This window comes from Homo sapiens, chromosome 3, assembly GCF_000001405.40.
Source record: "Homo sapiens chromosome 3, GRCh38.p14 Primary Assembly".
Taxonomy (NCBI): Eukaryota; Metazoa; Chordata; class Mammalia; order Primates; family Hominidae; genus Homo; species Homo sapiens.
Genome location: NC_000003.12, coordinates 141,696,694 through 141,719,025, shown reverse-complemented (window position 1 = coordinate 141,719,025; position 22,332 = coordinate 141,696,694). Strand labels below are relative to the sequence as shown.

The 22,332-nt window shown below is 43.2% G+C and overlaps 2 pseudogenes across 1 annotated transcript in view; one reads left to right on the top strand and one right to left on the bottom strand.

The window, feature by feature from the left end:
• Positions 1 to 22,332, bottom strand: part of LRRC78P (leucine rich repeat containing 78, pseudogene) — a 57,876-nt pseudogene that overhangs the window by 2,049 nt on the left and 33,495 nt on the right. The window contains exon 7 of the transcript NR_136190.1: positions 5,599 to 5,734. The product of NR_136190.1 is annotated as a leucine rich repeat containing 78, pseudogene (transcript). The remainder of the gene's footprint in view (positions 1 to 5,598; positions 5,735 to 22,332) is intronic.
• On the top strand, positions 9,299 to 10,016 carry TPT1P3 (TPT1 pseudogene 3; annotated as a pseudogene).

Below are 22,332 nucleotides of genomic sequence, written 5' to 3'. Positions count from 1 at the left end.
GATACTCTGTCTCAAAAAAAAAAAAAAAAAAAAAAGACTTAAATTGAACTTTCAGAAATTAAAAAGTACAATGTCTGAGATAAGTAAAACACATTGGATGGACTTTGTAGCATAGTAGACATTGTAGACAATATGTGAAGACATAACAACAGAAACTACCCAAAGTGAAATGCAGAGGACAAAAAGACCGAAAAAAAAAGAACACAACATCATTTAGCTGTGGGACAAAATCAAGTAGCCTAACCTATATATAATTAGAGTTTCAGAAGAATAAAAGACAGGAGTGATAGAAAAAAAATACTTGAAAAGGAGTGGTCTAAAATTTTCTAAATTTGATGAAAACTGCAAACGCATAGATCTAAGAAGTTCAACAAACTACAATCTGAAAAAACAAGAAGAAAGTCACACTAAGCATGTCATACTTAAATTGCTGAAAACCAGTGATAAAAAGAAAGTCTTAAAAGCAGCCAGAGGCTGGGCATGGTGGCTCACACCTGTAATCCTAGCACTTTGGGAGGCTAAGATGGGCGGATCACTTGAGGCCAGGGGCTTGAGACTAGCTTGGGCAACATGGCGAAACTCTGTCTCTACTAAAAATACAAAAAAAATTTAGCTGGGCATATTGGTTGCACGCCTGTAGTCCCAGGTATTTGGGAGGCTGAGGCACAAAAATTGTTTGAACCGGGGAGGCAGAGGTTACAGTGAGCCAAGATCACGTCACTGCACTCCAGCCTGGGTGACAGTGAGACTCTGTCTGAAAAAAGAAGAAGAAGAAGAAGAAAAAGCATACAGAGGAATAAAAACAAATTATATACAAAAGAATAGAGATAAAAATGATGTCTCTTCAGAAACAATATGAGCAGAAGATAGTGGAGCAACATCTTAAAAGTATTAACTGTCTGCTGGGAGTGGTGGCTCACACCTATAATCCTAGCACTTTGGGAGGCCAAGACAGGTGGATCACCTGAGGTCAGGAGTTTGAGACCAGCCTGGCCAACATGGTGAAACCCTGCCTCTACCAAGAATACAAAAATTGGCCAGGTATGGTGGCAGGCGCCTGTAATCCCAGCTACTCGGGAGGCTGAGGAAGGAGAATCACTTGAACCCAGGGGGTGGAGGTTGTAGTGAGCCGAGATTGCGCTACTGCACTCCAGCCTGTGCGACAGGAGTGAGACTCCATCTCCAAAAAAAAAAAGTATTAACTATCAATCAAATATTTTGTACCCGGCCAAAAAAAAAAAACTTTATAAATGAAGGCAGCATAGACTTGTTAGATATACAAAGGCTTAGGGAATTCATCACCAGCAGACCAGGATTACAAGGCATGTATAAAGTAAGTCCTTTAGACAGAAGAATATGATATCACATAGAAATGTGAATATAGCCAAAGGACTAAAGAATGCCAGAATGGTAAATATGTGAATAAACATAAAAAACTCCCCCCTTATTAAAAAAACAACTGCTTAAACTAGACATAATAATAATGTATCCTTGGATTTATAACACTGGTAAAGGTAAAATATATGACTACAAAAACACAAAGGATAGGAAGAGAATGGAAGTATACTGTTGTAAGATTCTTATACTATAAGTGAAGTAGTATAAAGTTATTTGAAGGTAGACTGTAATAAGTTAAAGGTGAAGGCTGTAAACACTAGAGCATCCACTAGGAAAAAAAAGACTAAGAGGTATAGCTCACGAGCCAATAAAAGATATAAAAATGGACTTATAAACATTACTTAATCCAAAAAGCAACAGAAAACTAGTTTAAAAGGAACAAGGAACAGATGAGACAAATAGAAAACAAATGGCAAGATGATAGATTAAAAACCAAACAAACCATAAAGATAATCACATTAAATATAATGGTCTAAACAATTAAAAGACAAAGATTGTCAAATGGATAAAAAAAGAAGTTCTCAGCTGTATGCTGTCTATAAGAAACCCAATTTCAATATAAAAACACAGATAGGTTAAAACCAAAGGACGAAAACAGACAAATTATGTAAATATTCATTTAAAAAAACCTGTAGTGGCTATATTAATATCAATCAAAGTAGGGAGCATTACCAAGGATAAAGAAGAGCATTTCATAATGACGAGTGTCAATTCATCAAGAGGCACAACAATCAAAAATGTTTATGTACCTAAAAACAGAGCTTCAAAATACATGAGGCAAAAATTGATTAAACTACAAGGAGATATAAACAAAATCACAATTTTCCCCTCTCTCAATAATTGATAGAACATGTAAAAATTTGTACATATATAGAAGACTTCAATAACACTGCCAACCAACTTGACCTAATTGACATTTATGGGACATTCAATCCAGTAACAGCAGAATACACATTCTTTTCTCATGCACATGGAACATTTACCAAGATAGATCAGATCTGGGCCATAAAAGAAATAAAACAAGTGTGTTCCTTTTTTCCGCTAGAGATGAGATCTTGCTATGTTGCCCAGGCTGATCTCAAACTCTTGAGCTCAAGCAATCCTCCCACCTCAGCCTCTCAAGTAGCTGGGACTACATGACCACACCAGGCGTGGGACCTGTAGTCCCAGTTACTTGGGAGGCGGAGGTGAGAGAATCGCTTGAACCCGGGAGATGGAGGTTGCAGTGAGCCGAGATCATGCCATTGCACCAGGTATGTTTTCCAACCACAGCAGAACTTAATTAAGAATCAAGAGATTCTTAATCTCTTGATTAAAACAGAATGATATCTGAAAAAATATACACATATGTGGAAACCAAACAGAGCTGTTCTAAATAACCCATAGGTTAGAGAAGAAATGAAAAGGAACATTAGAAAATATTTTGAACTGAATGAAATGAAAATATAACATATCGAAATTTGTAGGATACAATAAAAGCAGTGCTTAGTGCTAACATAAACATTTATATTAGAAAAATTAAAACTTAAAATCAATAACTTAAGCTTTCACTTTAATAATCGAGAAAGAGAAGAGCATATTAAACCCAAGGTAAGCAGAATAAAGGAAATAATAAAGACAAGAGATGAAATCAATAAAGTTAAAAACAGAAAAACAGTAGTGAAAATCAAGAGTGGTTCCTTGAGAAGATCAATAAAATTAATAAATTTCTAACCAGATCAATCAGAAAAGAGAAAACACAAGTAATCAATATCAAGAATGAAAAAGGAGACATCACTATAGATGCTACAGACATTAAAAGGATCGTAAGAAAATATTATGAAGAACTTTATGCCAATAAATCTGACAAATTAGATGAAATAAATTTCTTGAAAGACACAAACTACTAAAGCTTTACTCAAGATAAAATATCCAGAATAGCCTTATATCTATTAAGGAAATTGAATTTAGACCAGGCATGGTGGCTCACGCCTGAGGCAGGAGAATTACTTGAACCCGGGAGGTGGAGGTTGCAGTGAGCCGAGATTGCACTGCTGCATTCCAGCCTGGTGACAGAGAGAGACTCCATCTCAAAAAAAAAAAAAAAAAAATTGAATTTGTTGTTAAAAACCTTCCCATAAAGAAAGCTCCAGGTCCAGATGTTTTCACTGATAATTCTACTGAATATTTAAGGGTGAGATAATGCCAATGCTACACAAATTATTTCATAAAATAGAAGAGAGGGGCACACTTGTTAGCTCATTCTGTAAAGCCAGAATTACCCTGATCTTAATGCCAGACAAAGATATTACGAGAAAAGAAAAGTACAGCTGTGTGTGGTAGCTCACGCCTAGCTGGGCAGATGACTTGAGATCATGAGTTCAAGACCAGACTGGCGAACATGGTGAAACCCCACCTCTACTAAAAATACAAAAAATTAGCCAAGCATGGTGATCCGCACCTGTAGTCTCAGTTACTTGGGAGGCAGAGGTGGGAGAATCCCTTGAACCCGGAGACAGAGGTTGCAGTGAGCCGGGATCATGCCGTTGCACTCCAGCCCAGGCAACAGAGCGAGACTCCATCTCAAAAAAAAAAAAAAAAAAGAAAAGTACAGACTAATATGCTTCATGAGCATAGATGCAAAAATCCTTAACAAAATTTTAGCAATATACTAAAAGCATAATATATCAGCAATATATTAAATCAGCATTGTGTTAAAAGGGCAATGAAATGAAGGTTATTAATAGGATTATTATAGAAAAGCAGAGAAGCTATTAAAGTTGAAAATCTTCCCAGCCTTCCTGAATAAGTATATTAGAGAAGATTCCCTTCCCTTCCCCTCCCCTCCCCTCCCCTCCCCTCCTCTCCCCTCCCCTCCTCTCCCCTCTCCTTCCCTTCCCTTCCCTTTCTTTCTTTCATGATGAAGTCTCATTCTGTTGCCCAGGCTGGAGTGCACACGATCTTGGCTCACTGCAACCTCTGCCTCCTGGGTTCAAGTGATTCTCCTGTCTCAGCCTCCTGAGTAGCTGGGATTACAGGTGTCTGCCACCATGCCCAGCTAATTGTTTTGTATTTTAGTAGAGATGCGGTTTCACCATGTTGGGCAGGCTGGTCTCAAACTCCTGACCTCAAGTAATTTGTCCACCTCGGCCTCCCAAAGTGCTGGGATTACAGGTGTGAGCCACCATGCCCAGACAGAGAAGGAATATTTTTCTTCTAAAATAATAAGTAGACTGGGTGCAGTGGCTCACACCTGTAATCTCAGCACTTTGGGAGGCCGAGGTGGGCAGATCACTTGAGGTCAGGAGTTTGAGACCAGCCTGGCCAACATGGTGAAACTCTGTCTCTACTAAAAATACAAAAATTAGCTGGGTGTGGTGGTGCACGCCTGTAGTCCCAGCTACTCAGGAGGCTGACGCAGGAGAATTGCTTGAACTAGGGAGGTGGAGGTTGCAGTGAGCAGAGATTGCACTACTGCACTCCAGCCTGGGCGACAGAGTAAGACCGTGTCTCAAAAATAAAAATAAAAGTAGTAATAATAATACTAAGTAGCCATCCATCAAGCTCTCAAGCCTCAAGCCTTGGCTGTGTTCTGTTGCCCTTGACTGTCCCCATGGTGCTGTCACTATCGACTACCTGAAACTATATATCTTGGAGTCGTTTCCACCCAGCAAGCTTTTTCTACAGTAGCTGCAAATCCTACTTGGCCCACTGGGGATGTGGACTCAGTAGGCCTGGACAGGGAAATGCCTAAGATTCTCAAGACAAACAAGGTAAGGAAATATCCTGTTTTTGAGAAGCTTTTGAGAATAGCTGTGTCCTTCTGCCTGAGGAGGCTGGGACAACTTTGTAATCAAACACAAAAGAGTGTTCACTCCTGAGTAGGCCGCCCTTCTTCCTCAGGTCACATTGATTACATTTTACATTATATCCTGACTTTAAGAAAGAAAAATTGGGAGGTCATACTTCCTGTTTTTCCTCAGTTGCCAACTTCTTAAAATGGGGCTTCTAGTGAGGTCTTTGAGACTGCTTTATGGTCCACACACAACTGTTTGCCACGTTAGGTACCAAGACCAAGATGGGTCACTGCTTGGCTCTCAGAGCTGAAAAACCTCATCGGAAACTGCTAAAAAGGTGCAGTTAAATAATTATCCCCATGATTTAATTCAAGCACTTAGTTTTAAAAGGTGAACAAATAAAGCCTCTTAACTTGCTACTTACCATGTTAAAGTTTGAATGAATTCCAATAAACCATTTTCTCCTTCTCTTCCTTTTCCATCTATGCCATTATCTGCCTAATGCAACTTCACTAACCAAGGACCACTTTCCATCAGACCTTCAATTTTCTTCTTGATTCCTACAAGAAAATCAAAGTATTTTATTATTTTTAGACAATAGTTCCCCTGTTTGTCACCAGCTAAGCTGACTTTATTCTTTTAGCTTGTACTTTACTGGACTTGTGTGAGTAGATGCATTTGCAGTATAGTCAAGGAAATACTGTATATATAATTTTTAAAGTCCTCGTTTTATACTCAGTACATCCTTCCTTCTTTAGAACAAGAAGCCCAAAATTACTCTGCATGAAAGGAAATTCCATCTAAGATTTAGATTGTTGCCTTTACTTTGAAGAGGAAAATGATGTATCTAGAAATTTCCTGGAAGAAGATGAATGAGTTGCCCACTGATCTAGGGGAAGTGATAGTTCTTGTGAAGGAATTCAGCCCTTTAAAGGAGCCTGAAAAGCTGTTACCTTTTTGAGCTTTAAAAGAGAAAATCTGAAGGAGAAAGAACCATCCTGCCTTTGTAGAATTCATGACTGGGCTCAGGGTTCCTGGGGTTGGTTCACACTTGTCAGTCGACACAGCTTTTGTAGAGTCTATTGTCAGTGCTGGGAAACAGCATCAGGTCCACATTTAATTTATGTCAGTTCAAGTTTAGGAGTTTGGCAAAGAAAAATACAGGAAGGGAATGGAGGAAAAGAAATAATCACAGGCATAATGAGGGCTCATCCACTCAGTAAGTATGAGATGGGAAATAGGAATTGGCAGTCCCACGTTCAAACTTTTTCTGGGGGCCTACAAGTGTTTAGAGTTATATGTGCCCCCTAAACACTAACCAACTACTTCATCTGGATCCAACTGAAGAAAGACCAAGTGATCTGTTCCAAAACTGGGGAAGAAACTGTGTGGGACTTAGAGATAATATGCCTAGATATTGTAATGTGTGGGCAAATTACGGAATTTTAAAGGATCATTTAACTATACACTAATTTTGTCCACAATGTCCACCATCGAGAGCCTAACCCTGGAGCTAGACAAGACTTGAATTCCTTCAGCATTTAACAAATATTTTCGAGCTCCTATTATGTGTCAGGCAGTGGTGTAGGTGCCAGGGACCCAACGGAGAACAAAAGAGACAAAAATCCCTCCCCTTATGAAGCCGACATTAAGTGAATGTTAACTAGCGTGGTTAGAGCAAGGAAGAGAACAGAGTCAAGGATAATCAAGCATAAGTTTTCAAGCCTGGAGGGAAAACTTGCTTTTCAGGAAAAGGAGATAAATTTGGACATCAGGCCTTCCTAGGTTGCCGGTTGGGGAAAAAGAGTAGAAAGTATGCTATTAAAAAAAGGATTTGATTGGTTTCTTTGGACATGAATCTAATCTGCTGGGTTGTTGGATTAAACAGACAGGATTGGCTGGGCGTGGTGGCTCACGCCTGTAATCCCAGCACTTTGGGAGGCCAAGAAGGGCAGATCACTTGAGGTCAGGAGTTTGAGACCAGCCTGGCCAACATGGTGAAACCCATCTCTACTAAAAATGCAAAAATTAGCCGGGTGTTGGGGCATGTGCCTGTAGTTCCAGCTACTTGGGAGGCTGAGGCAGGAGAATTGCTTGAACCCGGGAGGCAAACGTTGCAGTGAGCTGAGATTGCACCACTGCATAGCCTGGATGACAGAGCAAGACTCTGTCTTGAAAAAAAAAAAAAAAGGAAATAGGAAGGATTTATTTTCCTTTAGAACACAGTTGGAGGGATGAACACTGGCCCATCTTTTGGTTTTATTAGGGGTAAGCCTAACTTGTCTAAATCTCATTCATCCTTACATCTAAGTAAGGCATGGGAATGATAGCAAATGACAGCTGTCATGAATGATATAACAGTGCTACATTATTCACACTAGAATAGTATCTGGCACATGGTAGGTATTTAATAAATGTTTGTTCAATGAATCAATGAATCAATGACTAATAGAGTGTAAACTGCAATCGTGTTATGGAAACTTTATCTCACTGTTCAGTGCTTTTCCAAGTACAGTGTTTGCAATAATGCCTTGAGACCACTCGTGAACAAGATGAAATATGATTTTTCTATTTGTAAAATCTCTTCACAGAGAAAAATGCATTTGAAAACGTAAGTTGACTGCCCAGAATGATGAATGATGTGGATACTGATCACATGTGGCATCCATTTCTTTTTGTCTCCTTCTGGCATGATAGAAAGCAGTGGTGACCAATAGGGCCGAGGCTGAAAGCCAAAAGCTAAATTCCTTTACAGCTGCTCAGCTTTGCAAGGAAATACGTCATCTTAGCCAGTCTACATCCCTAACTTAGCCAGTGTGGCACAAACGTGTGCCCTTGGAGAGGAAGAGACTTCCAGGCCTGTGATTGGCCTGGTCTAATGTGTACTCCCATGGGAAAAACAATCAAAGTCTCCCTCCAGCTGATGATAAGAGAGGTCACAATGTCATCTCTGCCTGAAAAATAACCAGTTTGGAAAATGCTAGTCAAAACCACTCTCCAGAATTTAGACCTCTAATGAGTTACGGTGGCCCTGTTAGATAATAGGAAGGCTGGCATTGCTCAGTACAGGAACTTCCTGCTCCAGGGCTTTAACCAAAGTTCAAGCAAAACTGGATTCTTTTCCCTAGGTTGAAAACAAATTCCTTGGAGTAAGGGTGGGTATGTGCTCAGGCCTTGGTAATACTTGATACACCCCAGCTGTATTCACCGTAACCCTTTTTTACCTAATCTTACATTTCTTTACTTTGAAACAAAAACAGGCTCACTAACAATGACCATTTTAATTTATCCCCTCTGTCTGGGAGAATTTAGCAGTGGCATAGCTATGCCCGGTTGTGCCCAAGAGGCAGGGTGGTGTAGTGAGATGTGCGGAATCTCCAGGTTTAAAACCTCTCCGGAAAATGCTATGAAACTCCTTGGAAAGTCACTTGACTTCTCTGAATCTAAATTTCCTCTGGCAAAATAGAGATCATAATACCCATCTCTTAGAAGCATTGTGAGGACGGCTGGGAAGCATTGTGAAATAGTGGTGGTAGAGGCACGTAGGACACAGTTTTAGTGCCTCGCTTGCCAGCATTATCTCTGGCTTTCATACGTCACTGAAACACTGAAATGGGAGCAACCTGGTGAAGAAACTTCATGTGCAAGGGTCCTTCCTTCTACCACTGTCTCCCTGAGGGTCAGGAGGACAATGGCACACCTTCCCTGGCAGCCACTCCACAGATCTAGTATGGACCCACCCAGCCTTGTGCTTCCTCTCATTTTCTCTTTGGTCAATTGCCAAGCTTCCCCAGGTGTCCTGGACTTGAGAATCTTTCTCACCACCCTCTTTGAACTGGCTACTAGGTCCTGTCAATTCTCTTCCTTCTAAATATATCGAGACTCCATCTTTCTATCACTGCAGCCTCACTTTATCTTCTCTTGCCTGAACCAGTGTAAAAGCTTCCTGCTTTTCCTACCACTCCCCTCTCATCCCTGACTCCCGACACCACTCCAGAATCCTGCTAAGCTAGTGCAGTTGTCCTCTTCCTTCAGCGGACCTCGTCAGACACGATGAGAAGCCCTCTGACATTGATGAGAACTGGGAGATTGTGGATAGACTGTGCCTGACAGTGGAGGAGAAGATAATCACCAGGACAGAGGGTAACACTGATGACTTGCTCATTGGTGGAAATGCCTCCTCTGAAGGCCCCAAGGGCAAAGGTATCCAAAGCACCCAAAGTCATCTATTGGTGTTGATATTGTCATGAACCATCACTTGCAGGAAACCAGCTTCACAAAGGATGCCTACAAGTACATCAGCGGGGCAAGGTGGTTCACGCCTGTAATTCCAGCACTTTGGGAGGCTGAGGTGAGAGGATCATTTAAGCCTACCAGTTTGAGACCAGTGTGAGCAACGTGAAGAGACCCGGTCTGTACAAAAAAAAAATTAGCTGGCCATGGTGGTCACATCTATGGTCCCAACTACTTGGGAGGCTGAGGTGGGTGGATTGCTTGAGGCCAGGAGGTCAAGGCTGCAGTGAGTCATGATCACACCACTGCACTCCAGCCTGGGCCACAGAGTGAGATCCTATCTCAAGAAGAAAACAAAAAAAAGAAGTACATTAAAGACGACACGAAATCAATGAAAGGCGAACTTGAAGAAGAGAGATCAGAAAGAGTAAAACCTTTTATGGTAGGACTGCAGAATACATCAAGCACATCCTTGCTAATTTCAAAAACTACCAGTTCTTTTTTGATGAAAATATGAATCCTGATGGCATGGTTGCTCTACTGAACTACCGTGAGGATGGTGTGACCCCGTATATGATTTTCTTTAACAATGGTTTGGAAATGGGTAAATATTAACAGATTTGGCAATTACTTTGAATATATCACCTATCATCATAAATGGCTGCTGCTTGCCATCCACAAAACACCAGGTCTTAAGACAAATGGGCCCTTCATTTATTTTGACTGTGATTTATGTGGAGTGAAGGCCTTGTTTTTTTAAGAAAAAAAAAAAAAACATGTCACATAGGTTGTCTAAAAATAAAATACATTTAAACTTAAAAAAAAAAAAAAGCCCATAACTAGTCTCCTATCCTCTAACTATTCCTCTCTCTAAAGCACATTCTGCAAAACTGCCAAAGATGCTTTTCAAAAATCCTGTTCTCACTATGCTACTGTCCTGCTTCAAAACCATCATGTCTCCCCCTTTGCACACAGGAGAAAATCTAACTCCTGAACTCAGCATTCATGGCTTTCAGTCACGTGGGTCCACTGGCCTCTTCAGTCACATTTCCAGCCTCTTTCCCAATGACTGCTCTATGGCGAAAGTCACCCCTCCAGATGCCTAATACGCCAGGCACCTTCCTCCTGTGAGCCTTTTTTCATGTGGTCTGACTGCGTGGAACCTCCTCTCCTAACACAGCTGACAAACCTCTTCTCATTTCTTCCAAGGAGAGCCCTGTTTCCTAAATGGGCCAGTACTCAAAGGTCAGGTGTAAATTTTCATGGAACCAGCATCCCCCAGAAAGGCTCTCCATATCCTTCGCTTGCTGGCCTCTTCTGGGACCGCCAGAACAGGTGGGCATCCTACATTCTGGGGGGCATCAGATTAACCACTACTCAAATGTTCATCTGTGGATGCCAGGCCCTGGTAGACCTTCTCCTAGTGGTTGAATTATTTTTTCAAGTTGTTAAAAATAGCTTCTTTCCATCGAAAAGGAACGTGTGTAATTTCCTGTGTAAGTCCTAGTTTTATAAACCAGAACATAAACTGTTTGCTTGATTATAGGACTTAAGAAGGCAAAATGTAGTGTTTGATGATTCACACCTTGGGCCTTGGGACCTTTCTATAAAGGTTTCCATTGTTTAGCTGTCACCCCAGGATGAAGCCCCAAATAAAATAATTGCAGGATTATAACTGGTAACTTCCTGTTTTGGAACTAATAAAGCTGTTTTGAAGATTACATCTTGACTTTTGAACTTGGTCTTTGCATTCCTTAATGCCACTGGTATTTCTGTGGACTGTGGCTATGATATAAGCAACAATGCCTTATTTGGGGAAGTGTATTTGCCACTTGGGTGGCATGGTACTGTAGTAAAGTTCTGATCAATCCCAAGTTTGTGGACATACCATTTTATGGTTGGATTTTTGCCCCATGTACATGCCTAAGTCACTTACTGGCTCTCCCTGTCCTAAATCCTCCAAAATTGAAACAGCCCTGGAGGTTGTCTGTGGGGCTTGGGCTGGGAATGAACAGGCACAGGATACCCCAAGTCCTCACTGGGTCTTTCAAGAACTTTGGGGGCCTTGAGGCAACAAGGCAGCACTGGCTGAATAGGGCTCAGAGAAACCATCTAAACTGAGGGTGGCTATTCCTGACAACCTTACAGTGACTTCCAATCTTCAGCTATCTTTTGGCTCTTTGTGGACCTCGCAGGTTTGTGACTAGGCATAGACCAAGCCAGACATCATCCACTTGAGCACCGATCAACTTCCAGGCCCACGATTCCTAGTTCCTGTATCCCCATGGTACAGAGAGCCATGGGGCTCAGAGGTGGCTTCCCTGAATATAGAAGAAGAAAGTATAGAAGACAGTATAGGAGAAGACAGAGAAGCCAGAATGGAAATGGGACTGAGTCTTGTCTGTTCTGCGGTTTTCAGGGCAGAGAAGAGGCATCTCAGAGCCTCGGTCTGCTCTCTGATTTTCTTCATTGTGCAAAATAAATCAGGAGCAGACAGTCTGATTTTTTCAAGTCCAAAACAGTGATTCTCAAAGTGTGATCCTCGGACCAGCAGCATCAGCACCCTGGGAACTGGATAGAAATGCACACTGTCCAGCTTCACTCAGACCTACTTACTCAGAACCTGAGGGGTGGCGCCCAGCAATCTGTGTTTTAACAAGCCCTCTGGGTACCTCTGAGGCTGCTCAAATTTGAGGACCCTTGTTTTAATAACTCTTCATCTTCAGGGGTACACTGAGGCAAGACTGATTTGGACAAAAATCTTTAACTCCTGCAAACATAGAAAGAAGGTATTTTGCTTCCTTTATTAACTTATAAATGGTTGCTCAATGTAAAGCTGTCAAGTTCTTGTATTGCTCTAAATGTTCTTATCACTCCAAATGAGAGGAATAATAATAGGCACAGGTTTCCTAGTGCAGGTTTTGCCTCAATGGCATTGTGGGGACAACTTTCCAAGCAGCAGGCCAAAAGCCTCTTGTCCACAAAGAGGCCGGCATGGAAATCGTTTGACTGTTTCCAGTTAGAGCCAAATGGAAACCATGTGGACTTGTCACCCAGGAGGCTGATGTAGATCAGTCTGAATCTTTACTTTGAAACAAGTAGAACTCTTCTGCCAAAGATCAAACTCACCCCCCAAACACTTTATGATAGCAAAAACAGTTGTCAAATGTGGAAAGCTGTTGTTGAATTTGCTTTGTAAACTCTGGAAAGCATGACACTAGTCTGCCCTGAAAGGAAGCTATAAAATAAGTATAATATTAGATACAAAAGGATTTGAGGCAAAGAATTCCTTGGGAAACAAAAGACTTTAATGGCTCCCAATGTCTACTAGGTTAAGTACAAACTTTCCACCTGACATGCAAATTCTTCCTTACTATGACCCTCCCGTCTTGCCAAGGGCCGCCCTCCTCTCATCCTCTTGTTCTACCTAAACCTGCAGGCTCATGGCGTGCATTAAGGCCCTTCTTCCTCACTTAAGTCCTTCCTCACCTAAGTCTTTCCTTTGAAAAAAAATTTTTTTTATTTCCATAGATTATTGGGGAAAAGGTGGTGTTTGGTTACATGAGTAAGTTATTTAGTGGTGATATGTGAGATTTTGCTGCACCCATCACCTGAGCAGTATACACCGAACCCTATTTGTAGTCTTTTATCCCTCACCCTCTTCCCAGCCTTTCCCCCAAGTCTCCAAAGTCCATTGTGTCATTCTTTTTTTTTTTTTTTTTTGAGATGGAGTTTTGCTTTTGTTGCCCAGGCTGGAGTGCAATGGTGCGATCTCGGCTTACTGAAACCTCTACCTCCTGGGTTCAAGTGATTCTCCTGCCTCAGCCTCCTGAGTAGCTGGGATTACAGGCATGCACCACCATGCCCAGTTAATTTTTGTATTTTTAGTAGAGACAGGGTTTCTCCATGTTGGTCAGGCTGGTCTTGAACTCCCAACCTCAGGTGATCCGTCCCCCTCAGGCTCCCAAAGTGCTGGGATTACAGGTGTGAGCCACCGCGCCCGGCCCATTGTGTCATTCTTATGCCTTTGCATCCTCATACTTAGCTCCCACTTATGATTGAGAACATACGATGTTTGGTTTTCCATTCCTGAGTTACTTCGCTTAGAATAATAGTCTCCAATCTCATCCAGGTCGCTGTGAATGCCATTAATTCATTCCTTTTTATAGCTGAGTAATATTCCATCATATATATACACCACAGTTTCTTTATCCCTTCATTAATTGATGGGCATTTGGGTTGGTTCCACGTTTTTGCAATTGCGAATTGTGCTGCTATAAACATGCGTGTGCAAGCATCTTTTTCGTATAATGACTTCTTTTCCTCTGGGTAGATACCCAGTAGTGGGATTACTGGATCAAATGGTAGTTCTATTTTTAGTTCTTTAAGGAATCTTCACACTGTTTTCCATAGTGATTGTACTCATTTACATTCCCACCAGCAGTGTAGGAGTGTTCCCTGTTCACTGCATCCACACAAACATCTATTACTTTTTTATTATGACCATTCTTGCTGGAGTAAGGTGGTATTGCATTGTGGTTTTGATCTGCATTTCCCTGATCATTACTGATGTTGAGCATTTTTTCATATGTCTGTTGGCCATTTGTAGATCTTCTTTTGATAATGTCTATTCATATTCTTAGCCCACTTTTTGATGGGATTGTTTATTTTTTTCTTGTTGATTTGTTTGAGTTCATTGTAGATTCTGGATATTAGTTCTTTGTCAGATGTATAGATTGTGAAGATTTTTTCCCACTCTATGGGTTGCTTGTTTACTCTGCTGACTATCCCTTTTGCCGTGCAAAAGCTCTTTAGCTTAATTAAGTCCTAGCTATTTCTCTTTGTTTTCATTGCTTTGCTTTTGGGTTCTTGGTTATGAAATCCTTGCCTAAGCCAACGTCTAGAAGGTTTTCCCAATGTTATCTTCTAGAATTTTTATAGTTTCAGGTCTTAGATTTCAGTCCTTAATCCATCTTGAGTTGATTTTTGTAGAAGGTGAGAGATGAGGATGCAGTTTCATTCTGCCACATGTGGCTAGCCAATTATCCCAGCACCATTTGTTGAAAAGGGTGTCCTTTCCCCACTTTATGTTTTTGTTTGCTTTCTTGAAGATCAGTTGGCTGTAAGTATTTGAGTTTATTTCTGGGTTCTCTATTCTGTTCCATTGGTCTATGTGTCTATTTTATACCAGTCAGGGCTGTTTTGGTAGCTATGGCCTTATAGTATAGTTTGAAATCAGGCCGGGTGCTGTGGCTCACGCCTGTAATCCCAGCACTTTGGGAAGCCAAGGCAGGCAGATCACCTGAGATCAGGAGTTTGAGACCAGCCTGACAAACACGGTGAAACTCCATCTTTACTAAAATACAAAAATTAGCCTGGCATGGTGGCGGGCGCCTGTAGTCCCAGCTACTTGGGAGACTGAGGCAGGAGAATCACTTGAACCCAGGAGGCAGAGGTTGCGGTGAGCCGAGATCACACCACTGCACTCCAGCCTGGGTGACAGAGCAAGATGCCATCACAAAAAAAAAGAAAAAAGAAATCAGATAATGTGATGTCTCCAGATTTGTTCTTTTTGCTTAGCCTTGCTTTGGCTATGCAGGCTCTTTTTTGGTTCCATATGAATTTTGTACTTGATTTTTCGAATTCTGTGATGGTATTTTGATGGGAATTGCGTTGAATTTGTAGATTGCTTTTGGCAGTAGTCATTTTCACAATATTGATTCTACCCATCCATGAGCATGGGATGTGTTTCCATTTGTTTGTGTCATCTGTGATCTCTTTCAGCAGTGTTTTGCAGTTTTCCTTGTAGAGATCTTTTGCCTCCTTGGTTAGGTATATTCCTAAGCATTTAATTTTTTTTTACAGCTATTGTAAAAGGGGTTGGGTTCTTGATTTGATTCTCCGCTTGGTAGCTATTGGTGTACAGAAGAGCTACTGATTTGCGTACATTAATTTTGTATCTGGAAACTTTGCTGAATTCTTTTATCAGTTCTAGGAGCTTTCTGGAGGAGTCTGTAGTGTTTTCTAGGTAAACAATGATATCATCAGCAAACAGCGATAGTTTAACTTCCTCTTTACCAATTTGGATGTCCTTTATTTCTTTCTCTTGTCTGATTGCTCTGGCTAGGACTTCCAGTACTATATTGAAAAGGAATGGTGAGAGTGGGCATCCTTTTCTTGTGCCAGTTCTCAGAGGGAATGCTTTCAACTTTTTCCTATTCAGCATTAGGTCAGCTGTGGGTCTGTCATAGATGGCTTTTATTATGTTGACGTATGTCCCTTGTATGCTGACCTTGCTGAGAGTTTTAATCATAAAGCAATGCTGGATTTTGTCAAATGCTTTTTCTGCCTCTATTGAGATGATCATGTGATTTTTGTTTTTAATTCTGTTTATGTGATGTATCACATTTATTGACTTGCATATGTTAAACCATCCCTGCATCCCTGGTATGAAACTCACTTGATCATGGTGGATTATCTTTTTGATATGTTATTGGATTCAGTTAGCTAGTATTTTGTTAAGGATTTTAGCACCTATGTTCATCAGGGATATTGGTCTGTAGTTTTCTATTTTGGTTATGTCCTTTCCTGGTTTTGGTATTTGGGTGATACTGGCTTCATAAAATGATTTAGGGAGGTGTTAGAGACAAGCCGCCCCAAAAAAGCTTCTTGGTATCACCAACATCCCTCCCCTTCCCCCAAACCTTTTTATATTTCTAAGCCCTTATCTAGGCAGCACGGTGAAGCCAGCAGACTTTACCTATCAGGCCTTACTGCTATAAAGCAAACCCCAATTACAAACCATCCAGACTGCACAAGGGGAGGTCACGGAAAGCACAAACAAACTTTACCTACACCCTTAGTATCATAAACGTCACAAGGTGATATGTGGCAGAGTTGACCAACAAACAACCCCAGGGTCTCTCTCCCCCATATAAATCCTTCATTTTGTAAGCTCAGGGCTGCCTCCTCTGTCTGTAATGAAGCAGCCAGCAGGTTCAATAAACTTACTCGCCTGAACTTGGGTCTCTCTCTCTTGTCCTTTCTCTCGGCTGACCTTACATTCTGGTGCCAAAACCCGGGAAGGGGATAGATGCTGGCTGGGACTCTCTTTCTCCCTTTCTCTCTCTCTCTCCCCTATCACCCCTCTCCAAGCCAACTTCCCCTTTCCTGAACCTGCCGAAGACCCAGAGACTCTCCTAGAATCTCCCATTGCTGGCAACCTCATCCACCATCAAAGCCTCCGCCAGGGTGAGTGAAAAAGAGACTGTTACCATTCCCCGGAACCCTTGACCGTCCGTCTCTCCGTTTCCAAAAGACCCAGCGCTGGGCCAAGGGTTTCCTCTGGCCTCCGGGCCTCTGGTTCCTCCGTTTCAGGGACGCCTGACTTGGCGATTATCTCCTCTATTCCAGACAAGTTCCACGGGAAAGGGGATGCCCTCTCCTGCCATCCTTGTCACCAGCAGTCTCTTTTTCCTCTACCCCAGCCCCCTTCCATTCACTGTGAGAGCCTCTCAGTCTACCCCTTCCAAGACTACCCTTCTTAGGTGTCTCCTCCGCAGTCTCAAAGCTCTTGGCCTCCGTTCAGAAATCCGCCCTAAAAGGCTTATTTTTTACTGTAATACTGCATGGCCTCAATACAAATTGGACCGTGGCTCCTAATGTCCCGAAAATGGCACTTTCTATTCCGACGTGCTCAAAAACTTAGACAACTTTTGCCATTGCAATGGGAAATGGTCTGAAATTCCTTATGTTCAGGATTTCTTCACCCTCCATAGCTGCCCTTCCCTCGTCAGTCCTGTTCTGCTTTCCAAATTCTCCTTGCCCTCTCCAAACCTGACTCGCCTCCTGCCCCCACTCCCACAGCCCCAGCCGATGATTCCTCTTCCTTTGACCCCACCGATATTCCCCCTCCCCAACAGCATCATAACCCTCCACCGTAAGTCCCCGCTCCAGCTCTCCCCCTCTCTCCCCCTCTCTCTAACCACCCCGCTTCTGACTCTGAGTCCTCTCCGTCTCCGCCCCTCACCCGTTCTCAGGCCCAACATGCTCGGCAACCAGCTCCCTTGCTTCCTCTCTGGGAAGTAGCAAGAGCTGAAGGTATTGATAAAATTCATGCTCCCTTTTCCCTCACTGATCTCTCTCTAATTAACAAAGGAGTTCATTTCCAGAGGACTCTGCCTCTTATATTAGGGAGTTTCAGTACCTTACCCAGTCTTATGAACTAACCTGGCATGACCTCTATGTTATCCTCTCTTCCACCCCCACCCCAGAAGACCTGGACTGTATCTGGACCCTAGCTCAGGCACATGCTGATACCATATCACCAGGCTCCTGCCCAGCCTACTGGTGCAAAGGCAGTCCCCAGCCAAAACCACCAATATTCAGCACAAGATTCAGAAGGTTGACAATGGCCCTCAAACCCCACCTTCTTAATTTAGCCTTCAAAGTCTTTAACAATCATGATGAGGAAAAAAAGGCAAAAACAGGCAGAGTTTCAAATGCTTACCTCTGTCATCTGGGGCCCTGCAGGCCCATGGGGCCGCAGCTCCACACGGAAACCTCCTAGCAATCCACCTCCACCTGGCACCTGTTTCAAGTGTGGCAGTGAAGGCCGCTAGTCCAGACAATGCCCTAACCCAGGTAAGCCCACCAGGCTGTGCCCCCTCTGTGAAGGACCCCACTGGAAGTTGGACTGTGAGCAACCCCCACAAGGACCGCCCCCATCCCTTCCTGAGCTGGCCAAAACCTGCTACTTGGATCTCATCGGCCTTGCCGCTGAAGACTGATGGTGTCCTGGAACAGACACCCTGGCAACTACCATCACTTCATCCGAGTCAAGGGTAGCCCTGATGGTGGCAGGTAGGCGAGTATGTTTTTTCTAATTAATACCGGGACAACCTACTCTGCTTTACCTAATTTTTCAGGACCCACTGAGTCCTCCCAGCTCTCTGTTACAGGAATTGATGGACAAGTCTCCAAACCCCGAGCCCCCCACCACCCTTCTGCTCCCTGCACACCTTTTCCTTCACTCACTCTTTCTTAGTCCTGCCCTCATGCCCAACTCCATTCCTAGGCAGAGACATCCTTTCAAAACTCCACACTACTCTCCACCTCCATGGTGACCTACTTAGAAATTCAACTTTCCCCTGAGGCCTGGGCTATGAGGCCAGCCCAAGCAGCATTAATAGATCATCTACCCGCTCCCTCCTCCAAAAGCAAAATCCTTTCCTTCTTAGGATTAGCAGCCTTCTTTAAAATATGGATTCCCAACTGTGCTTCCTAGTTCGCCCCCTCTATAAAGCGGCCAAAGGCCCTCTCAATAAACCCCTAAATCCCTCACATAACATACTCCCCAGCTTCCACAAACTCCAAACCGCTCTTGTCACTACACCAGCTCTGTCCTTACCTGATATCTCCCAACCTTTCACTATCTGTACTGCCAAAAGCTGAGGAACAGCCCTCGGTGTCTTAGGACAACAAAAAAGAAATCCCCCTTTCTTCGCTCCCTGTAGCCTACCTCTCCAAACGATTAAACAACACAGTTGGAGGACGGCCAACCTGTCTTAAAAGGCTAGCAGCAGCGGCCACTTTAACTCTAAAAAGCAAAAAACTAATATGCAGTCAAAATATCACTGTTTACAGTCCTCATAATATACAGGATCTCCTCTCCCCCTGAGCTTTAGGCTCCCTTCCTCCTTCCCAAATACAATTACTCCATGCTCTCTTTATCAAAAATCCTAAATTCAGTCTTGCCAACAGTGCTCCCCTCAACGCAGCATCCTTACTCCCTGTGTCTTCTTCCCCTCCTACTCATTCTTACCCTGACATCCTAGATCACCTGCAGCCACACTTTCCAAACATTTCCTCCGAGCCTCTCACCAACCCCGATGACCAGCTATTTATAGATGGCTCCTCTTCTGGGCCCACTGGCCCTCCGAAAATTGTTGGGTATGCGGTTGTTTCCCTTAACTGAGTAATTGAAGCTAAGCCCCTACCTCCAGGAACCTCCTCTCAGAAAACAGAACTCATAGCTCTCACCAGAGCCCTAACCCTCTCCAAAGGCAAACGAGTCAACATTTACACAGACTCCAAATATGCATATCACATTCTTCATTCCCACACCGCCATCTGGCATGAGAGAGGATTTCTTACTGCCAAAGGGACCCCCATCACTAACGGCCCCCTTATTTACCAACTCCTTCAGGCCGCACACCTCCTAACTGAAGTGGGAGTTATGCACTGTCGGGGACATCAAACAGGAACAGATAAAATCTCAAGAGGGAACAGAAAGGCTGATAAAGCAGCAAAAGAAGCCTCCCTTTTTTCCGCTCCTGCCTCCCTCCTCCTCATTACCCCTGCAATCCAACCTCAATACGCCCCCACTGAAATCGCCTCATTACTACAACAAGGAGCCTTCCTCCAGGGGGGCTGGAGAGTTAAGGACCAGAAGCTAGTCCTACCCCAGTGCCAAACCGACAGAATCCTGACATCTCTCCACCAATCCTTCCATATTAATGCACGTCCCCCATATCTCCCCTTCCACCCATATTTCTTCTCCCCTCACCTATTCACCTCACTAAAAAACGTAACTTCAAACTGACATATATGCTCTGCCGCCTCTTCTCAAGGAGGTCTCCATTCCCCATCTATTATACTACTTACCCTATTGTTTACAGTAAAATTATATAGTGTAACTCCTTCCAGTTGGAATACCAGCCAAAAAGTCTCCCTCACTTTAGCCTTCTGCCTAATCGTTATCCTTATAGCAAAAATCACAATCGCTAACAAACAAGCATTCCCCCATCCTCCCTAGATGCCCTGCTTCTGTCTGTCCTGCCACTTCACTCTCTTCCTTCACGCCTCTCACAGAATATTTCCTGGTTCCACCCATGGAACAACACTCTGGAAGCCTTTTTCGAGTGGATAACCGAACTTTTCCTCCAAGGCTCTCTCTACGGCTTCACTCCGGACAAAATCAAACTATTTACTTTTCTGCTCACTTTCTGCCTTTCTAACCTGTCCCATAATTAATACTCCAACCCTTCTTTCGGCCCAACCAATACCTACAACCCCTAAACACCTATACAGAAACTAAAAAACTCCAGTTCCTCCCTGGCAAGAGACTTCTGGTTCTGCGTATCCCTCCACTCCACAACATACAATATAATCCCTGCCTCAGCCTATAACTGAACTTCCACCCAAGTAACCTACCATCCTAAAATCCTCATTAACAGCCCCCTCAAACTCAACATACAGGCATTAACAAAAATCTCCCCCAAGTTAGCTAGCGAGTTTGGTCCGGTGGTTACAACTTTACATCCCTACTTACGCGACCTATCCCCAACCTATCCCCCTGCCACAGCCGTAATAAAACCCGTATTAGGAGCCATAACAACCCACTCAATCTTATCTTATCCAGCATCACTGTGCGACCAATGACATCTACCCTCTGGCAGTCCCCTCAGTCACCTAAATTCCAAACTGTGAAACTATACCTTACAACTCAAACCTTCCAGCAAACATACTACTCTCAAAGCTGCCAACAATAAAGACAGGCTTCCTTTCTCCAGCCCCCCAGCCCTTAACACCTCCCACCTCATTAACAAAACTTCAGAGTAGTGCAATGGCCAATGTCTCCCCTGTTTATCCCTCTTCCCTTGGCTCCCCTCTCCATGCACCATCCCTGCACCCACCACCCGCAACTGTCTCCTTATCCCAACATCCAGCCACACTCCCACATGAATCTTAGTAAACACAAAACGCTTCCTCTCACACTGGGAAAAAACAGCCCAAAAGCCTCCCAGCCCAAACCAAACACCCCTTTACAACCACTTACAGCAGCAGCCCTAGCCGGGACCCTAGAAGTATGGATGCATGAAAATAACAAAACAGTACATCTTTTCAGCATATGCAACAAGTTCTGTCTACCAAGCCAAGGCAGACTTTTCCTCTGTGGTACCTCAACTTATATTTGCCTCTCCTCTAACTGGAGAGGCACCTGCACCCTGGTTTTCCTCAGTCCAAAAATCAACACTGCCCCAGGAGACCAGCCCCTACCAATCCCAGTTAATACCCCTATCTGACACCGCCATGCTATATAACTCACACCTCTGTTAGTAGCCCTTGGAATAACTACAGAAGTTGGAACTGTGATTGCGAGATTAGCCACCTCCGTTTTCTATTACCAATCCCTCTCCAAAGACCTCACAAATAACTTGGCAGACATAGCCAAATCCATTACAACTCTCCAATCACAAATAGATTCTTTAGCAGTGGTAGTTCTTCAAAACCACAGAGGCTTAAACTTACTCACAGCCAAAAAAGGAGGATTCTACCTTTTTCTAGATAAACAGTGTTGCTTTTATCTTAATCAATCTGGCTTAGTACAAGATGCTGTAAAAAGACTAAAGGACTGAACACAAAAAATTAAGAAAAATGTCCCCCAGTGGCCAGCGTGGCCCTCCTGGTCCTTTAGCACCTGGTTTCCATGGCTAACGCCCCTCCTAGGCCCAGCCATAACCATTCTTCTCTTTCCAGCATTCAGCTCAAGTCTCCTATGACTTCTAACCCAGTTTTTACAGGACCGTATCAGAGCCTTCACCCGCTGGACAATACAAAATATGATGCTGCTCCAGGAATACCAACAGCTCCAAGAACAGCAGTCCCTACCGTCCAGCCTTTCCCCATAACCGTCACCCCTTCCCAGCAGGAAGTAGCCAAACGACAATGGCGTCCCTCTTCTATTACCTATTAAAAGGCTGGAATGTTAGAGACAAACTGCCCCAAAAAAAGCTTCTTGGTATTGCCAACACCAATCCCCTCCCCACAGGCCTTTTTACATTTCTAAGCCCTTATCTAGGCACCACGGTGAAGCCAGCAGACTTTACCTATCACGTCTTACTGCTATAAAGCAAACCCCGGT